Genomic DNA, 7,430 nt, shown 5'->3' with positions numbered 1-7,430 from the left:
TGTAAGGCCCAAGTGTGGATATCTATGATTCAACCCTTGATTCCATTCCAAAATATAAATAAGATTATGTCTTTCTCCAATGTCATCCATCTCAAATCAAAGACTTAACATGGGCCACAAAGCTTTAGTTACCTGCGTATCCCTTATGCTGTGACGTAATTTATTTTGATCCACTTGCCTTCTCTGTCCATATTGGTCTCCTTGAATTTGTCCCTAATGAAACAAACATGTTTCTATCACAATAAATTTGCATTTGCTATTTTCTGCTGGAAAATTTATTTCTCCATATTCGCTCTCATGCTTAGTTCATATCTTTCATAAAATGTCACTATGTCAGAGAGTCTCTTGTTGACTATCCTGTTTAAATTTGTTTCTGTGCCCTAGACATGCTTATACTTCTTTAGCACACTTATCATTGCCTAAGATATGTACTATTTATTTACTTTGTATCTGCATCTCCCAACTACAATGTAAACTCTCCAAAGACAGGACTTTTGTCTCTCTTTGTCTGCAGCATCTAGAAGAGGACCTGACAGCTGGGGTCATTCAATAAATATTTCTTGAATAAAAGTCATTGCTGAAAAACTAATGGAGGGCATTAGATGGTTTACATGCAGAGTGCCTACATACTGCTGTAGAGTGACATGGTGGTTATCTTCTGACCTACAGGGACTGAGATAAAAAATGTGAGTGCTTTGGAGGCTTAGCAACTGTGGTGTGGCAAAGGAAACCATGGGCAAATCAAATCTTGGCATAAATAGCTCTAATAATAAGTGAGTTTGAGTACCATGTTTGTAACATATAAAATATGACAGACTAAATTATAAATAAGGACCTCTGACATTATGGGCTTCAATCTGTGCTAGTCAAACTGGGAAAGAAGATGATGAAAGAAATCATTATTCCTATAAATAGAAAAGAGAAAAATAAGGAGCATACATGTAAAAATGTGCTTGAAATTTATTGCTTTTAGAGAAGTGATTTCTATTATTCAGAAACAGTACTGAACACAGCTTAACAGTTTAAATTGCAATTATATCATCAAGTGACAATTGAAAAGGCAAGTATCCTGAAACAAAGAGTATACAGTAAATTATAGTGTTTTTCATTTGCATTGCTCTTTGATGATTCTTCAAAAAGTGGTAGTAGTGTGATATGGTATGAAAGATGAGAATATGGATGTAGAAGTCGTATTTGCCAATCAAGCCTGCACAGAAAAAAAAAAATAACAGATTATCTGTAAAATTTTTACCCCTGTAAACACATTTATATTCTGGCCTGGTACAGAGTAGATATTATATACAATTATAGTTTATAAAATGCAGGGCCCAAAATAATATTTGACACAGAGTAGACAATTAAACAATTATTAAATTGGTTCCTGAATAAATAAAAATTATCATTCAGCATCTACAATTTAAATTATTTTTCAATCATCATACTATTTTATTCTTCTACTTAAATATAGCCTACACATTTCATTTATATGCATTTCCTCTAAATAATATTTCAATACATCTTTTCTTGATTAAATGTCATCAGCTATTACCTAAAACCTAGGGGATCAAGTTCAGGCTCTTCCCTGTATCACTAATGGCAATAGAGAATTGAATTGGAATATAATCTCCCAAATGCACTGAAAAATAATTGAAATCCTTTGGACTATTTTAACTTTGTAGAACAATCCTCCCTTATCTCCAAGAGTTTGCTCTATTTTGTTTTGAAATATTATTTTTTCATAGAATTTAGAACATTTAATGTTGTGTAGAGATAGGTAAAACTGACTTTCTAAAAAGAAATTGATAACATTTCCATATTTTCTTGTTAGCATTATGTTAATAATTTCTATAGTAATTGCTCAGTAGAGTTACTTAGGGTACAAAATGCAAATTTCTCACAAGTTCCCAGATGGTTCCCAGATGGAAGCTTCTCCAAAGATTGCATTTTGGGAGTGAAAACTTTAAGCAACACCTAGGTACAGATTTAGTGGCAGGGAAGCCCTGCAGTTATAACTACAAACCTTTCTGATCAAGAGATTTTATGTGATATGTCTTTCAAAAGTGTCACCAATTCTAAAAAGCACATTTAAGTGTTATCATAATACACAATTTTTTGACGAGAAAACTGAGGTTCAGGAGCATTAGGAGTAGTTCAAAGTCATGAAACTAGTAGTTGTCAGGGCCAGCATACAAACCCTGGTGTCCCCCACTCTATAACACTGCCTTCTAACCATAGCAGGACAGAGACTATCTCAGAAGCATTTATATAAATTAATACATTTCAAGGAGCTATACAGCTGGCTGCTTTCTTATACTGGAACTGCTGTTGGTTTAATGTCTTGTTTTTGTTTTTCTTCTTTTAACTGTCAGCACTGATACAGAAAGTAAAAAAAATGTCACTAAACCCATCTTACCTCAATAATCATGTCCTGCAGTTACTGATGATATTAAAAGGTATATTGTTGGTATTGTGGTTGGTATGGTTGTGGGTATAGTGGTTGTTCTGGAACTGGCTGATAAGGGCCATACCCATACTGTATACACACAAGGAGAAAGAAAATTGCAGAAAATTGAGATAATGACAGTGCAAGCGTTTTTATTAGAAGCTTAGATTGTTAAAGTTTTAGGAACTTACATATTACTTATAAGATTTTTTTCCAAACTTTCAATTAGATTTTTCTTTTTGGTTATAAACACATTTTAAAAGCAGGTAAAAATGATTGAGTGTTTACCTTTGTACTGCATGTTCACAGTTTTGTGGTTTTATTTCACATGCAGGAACACCGATTATAGGCTATCACTCCAAAGAGGTTTTAAATTTTCTTCAAAATACTACCTCCCAGCAACCATTTTGCCCACCTTTGAGTATTATGGGAAGGAGACATTTACTAAATTCAGCTTATGTGGTGTTTCTTCAAGTCACTCTTTTAATGAGCTTACTGTCTCTTACGATTCCTACATTCCTTAATACTTCTTCCTTCTGTTAACACAAATAACCATCATCCCTTTTAGAGTATCTTTTTATTTGGTGTTATTTTAATCCATGTATTCACTATATTAGTTAGGGGATCTTTTGCAACCCTATCACATTGACATTATATGTCAACATACTGGGACATCAAGATACATACATTAAGAAAAATGTTAAATAAATGAAATTTGCTATCTCATTTATCATGACCTGTTTAATTTAATGAGTTTATCACCGTCAAAAAAAATCAGAAGGTGCAAACTTACCATATTTTATGTGTAATTATCAGCCTTTATGCTCCATGAGGCATATATTATAATTAACAGAATTAGAATTTCAACTATTTTTTAGGTCAAAGTGATTACTTAGGAGATGATACTTGAGGGCTCAGGGAGTAACTGGTTTCTTCAGGTTGGCACTATGAGTTTCAACTTAAATGTTGTTAGGACACAATACATTTGTGACTGTTACCTGTGTATCATAAATAGAGGAAAACAAAGCACACTTTTGCAACTACTACACATATTTGAGAAATAAGTATTGGTTCTTCTAGAAGAATAAGTAATCAGAGAACACAATTTATTTGGACTACACAGCATTATCAGAGAACACTTACACCGAATCTTCCAATTCTACGCAAAAATTTCTGTGAAAAATGAAGAAAAGTTTAATAATTCAATACAAATGTAGGGAGGACAAAACTGAAAACAAGTTTTCCAGTGAATGAAAATGACTCACCTCTTCAGATGAATCAGCTCCCTTAGAAAACAGAAAATTAGACAATAGTTAGTATCTTAATGTTATAATTCCAGATTGAGTACAAAAATGAACTCAGCAGCTACAGTTGTGAGTAAACAGGATGTAGGCAAATCATCGATAGACACTAAATTAGTTATTTTTGCTTCATGACATCTTTAAAATGAGTTAAGAGTATGCTTTTCTGTAATTAGTGTGCTATATTCAAATATAAATTTATTTGGATTTATACTTGTTTTGTGTGTAAAAGGGAGTAAATGGTTATCATTGGTGAATGAAAAGTGAAACTTTGTATTTTTTCATAAGAATATGTTTTCAGCAGCTCAAAGGCTACTTACACATAACTTTTATTTACTGACAGAGACAAGCATTATGTTTTTCTCTGTTTTCCTTACATTTTTATTTTTTATTTTTTAGACACCTATCCTTTTATAACAAATAATGTGGTATACTGTGATTTTATAATCAAATTAGTTTTTGAAATATCTGTTAGAATTTACCAGGTAAGTTGAACTATTTTTATTCTTTCATGGCCAGTTTCCTACTAATGTCATAGAAAAGGGACAGGAGAAATAGAAGGAAGTAGAGTAGAAGAAAGAGCTCCAGAGAAGTCAAGTGCTTTACCTAGTGATACATAGTAGTAAATGACAATAAAAGCTGGGAACTCATAACATGTCATAGATCTGAAGTTTTGTTTTATAGTTAAAAATAAGCAGCTTTATTTTAGAAAGTGTGTGCTAAATAATTGTATACTAATTTTAAGTTAGTTTTTGCAAGGAATGACTTGAAAATTTCTACTTTGACATCTTCTAATACTTGAATTCCACTCAAGTGCACCTAGTTCATTCCTGAGATTTCTAACTTCAGATTGTCTAGAGCATTACATGTTTAAAGATACTTTTAGAAGCTCTCAGTTCCACATATTTAAGAAGTTCAGTAAAACTTTCTTTTATTTCACACTAAGCTAAATATACTTTAGTGTCTGTAGATGAATAATGACTATTTATTCTAAATCCTTATATAGCTTATGTAGGTTAGTACAAAAAAAAGTTCATATGGAAACATTTAAACATATAAAGCTGTATTCAAGTAAACACCAATATATGCCAGAACACAAGGAATAGAGAGACTCTTGGGATAGGTACTGAGAACATATTCTTCAAATGTCCTGATATACTTACAATCATGGAAACCATGAGAGCCAAGATGAAGGCAAAGACAAGGAACTTCATAGTTGGCTGGGTTCTCTGAAAACATATGTGGAAATTCAGTATCACATTTTTTCTTGCATTCGCCCATCAAAAGTTTATTGATTATACTACGCTCCAAAGCACTGGGAGACACACTCCAGATAGAAAGACAATTAAAACCCATTGCCTGACATCATGAAACTTGGAGACTTGTTGGAGACACTGATAAGTAAAAGTGAGTGTATTGATATGGAAATGCTAAGGCATTAGAGTAACACACAAATCAACACCTTACACAGACCAAGAGAATAGGGGTATGAAGGTAAAGAAGAAAGTAAAGCTTGAGTTGGATTATGCAGGATGAGTAAAGAGGTGTTGGGTGACTGCAAGAAAATGAAAAAGAGGGAGGATACCATATTGAAAGTGCAAACAGTTCAAAATGTAGGGAAGATAAAACTGGAGCAGTTTATCAGAAGATAAAACTGGAACAGTTCAAAATGTAGGGAAGATAGAACTGGATATTATGGGGCGCCTTAAATAATGACATTAGGGATGATATTTAAGGTACAGTGTAAAGAGATGTTTGGATGTTAGAATGACCAGCAATGGGCAATCGCTTTATAATGTTACTGAAAATGAGCCAGATTTCTGTCTTGAGAGTTGCAAAAATGGGGTCACCTTCAGATTAGAACATTAATGATACTGGGTAGAGAACAATCAAACTGATAAGAAGTCACAGAGAAAATATTCGTACCTCCTCTGAGAAGTTGAATTGGTGAAGATGACTTAATATTTTAAATAATCTCATTCAACAAAATTAACCTTATCTGGGACTGTGATATGTTATCATAAACAGTATAAGCCAGTTAACCCAGTTCCTTTGTTATTAAACAAAAAACGTTAGATTATTTATTTGTAAATTATAAACATCTAAATAAAGACATTTTCAGTGAAACACATAATTGCCACAAGAGTTACAAATAAATGACATTTTTACCTGTTTATTGAAAACTATAGAGTAATTCATATAAAGGTAATGGTCTTCATTATTTTAATCTCTTTTACCAATAACTTGTGATAAAACATTACAAGAATATTTTTTACCTAATTATAAAAAAAATTACTGTTATTAATAACCCCAAATCTCCAAAACATAAAGCAGAACTCATGATTTATGGCATTTGCTTTGTTACTTATTCACTGATTTGCCTCAGTTATTCAAACTGAAATTTCTGGCCGGGTGTGGTGGCTCATGCCTGTAATCACAGCACTTTGGAAGGCCAAGGTGGGCAGATCACCTGTGGTCAGGAGTTCAAGACCAGCCTGACCAACATGGAGAAACCCCGTCTCTACTAAAAATAATAATAATAAAAATTTAGCTGGGCATGGTGGTGAGTGCCTATAATCCCAGCTACTTAGGAAGCTGAGGCAGGAGAATCACTTGAGCCCGGGAGGTGGAGGTTGCGGTGAGCCGAGATTGCACCATTGCACTCCAGCCTGGGCAACAAGAGCGAAACTCTGTCTCAAATTAAAAAAAAAAAAAAAAAAAAAAGGAAATTTCTGGTATTAGAGTAAGTGTAAAAATAATATGTACTTTGGGGTTTTTCTATCACCTGATAGATAAACCTACCCATCAGTCATTTTATGATGCAAAAAGCATAAAAACTTTAGTGTATTTTATACCTGTAAATTTTATTGAAAGTATGGAATCAAAAAATGCTCATAGAAGAGTAGTTTTGTTTTACTAACCTTGATAAACTGAAAGATGGATATATAGACATAGATATATAAATATATATGTCATGGTTTTAAAAAAATATTTCCCCAATGAAAAATAATAAAAATATGAAATAGTAAAATCTTTGTTTTCTGCCATATCACAACTGAATGAAAACAACTTAAGTAATATAAAACAGTAAGGCAGTAAAGCATGACTGTTATACAACATTTTTTATTATGCAGAATGACATAACTGTTTAAAATGATGGAAAGGTCAATGAAAAGGTAGTGAGAAATGTTTACTTATGGGAAAAAAGTAAATTTTTAAAAGTTAAACTTGTGAAACAATATATACATTTGCAAAAAAGAGAACGTATGCTATTTTCTTAAAATATGAACTTCGAATAAAGGTAAAAGTAGTAAGTAGCAGAGTAGATGCCAGTACGTAGACAAGGAAATAAAAAGCTTTTCAGAAGTTCCATCAGGAGAGAAGTTGGAATATGTCTCCATATTCCACATTATTTACTTTGCATGATGATTGCTGATTTCAATGTATAGTTATTCAGATTCTCAACTTACCTTCAGATCCTAAGAAGGTCATCATTTCTCTCAATTGTTTCTTTATGAGAAATTATCATTACATAAATACACATTTTTATAATTAGTTTTCAAAAGATTTTAGGAAGCAACACTCTAGATTAAGACAACATATTCGATTATACATGAACATATTACCTTTTACTCAAGATGAGACTACAGAAGTAGTGAAGTTGAAGTGAAGCTTCAAGAGATGAT

The 7,430-nt window shown here is 32.4% G+C and overlaps 1 protein-coding gene across 2 annotated transcripts; it reads right to left on the bottom strand.

Annotated features, from left to right (window-relative positions):
- Positions 1-825: 825 nt before the first annotated feature.
- On the bottom strand, positions 826-7,430 carry STATH (statherin). Of its 2 annotated transcripts, NM_003154.3 has the most exons (6): positions 7,371-7,430; positions 4,908-4,973; positions 3,709-3,729; positions 3,587-3,616; positions 2,414-2,533; positions 826-1,207 (listed from the first exon to the last, which is right to left on the bottom strand). In NM_003154.3, the coding sequence occupies exons 2-5, from the start codon at positions 4,956-4,958 to the stop codon at positions 2,447-2,449; spliced, it is 189 nt and encodes a 62-aa protein (NP_003145.1). In that variant the 5' UTR covers positions 4,959-4,973; positions 7,371-7,430; the 3' UTR covers positions 826-1,207; positions 2,414-2,446. The 2 variants fall into 2 exon arrangements, with proteins under 2 accessions (NP_003145.1, NP_001009181.1); NM_001009181.2 differs by lacking the exon at positions 3,587-3,616.

Source organism: Homo sapiens, chromosome 4 (genome assembly GCF_000001405.40).
Source record: "Homo sapiens chromosome 4, GRCh38.p14 Primary Assembly".
Classification (NCBI taxonomy): Eukaryota; Metazoa; Chordata; class Mammalia; order Primates; family Hominidae; genus Homo; species Homo sapiens.
The sequence above is the reverse complement of the archived record's forward strand: the minus strand, read 5'-3'. Positions and strand labels throughout refer to the sequence as shown.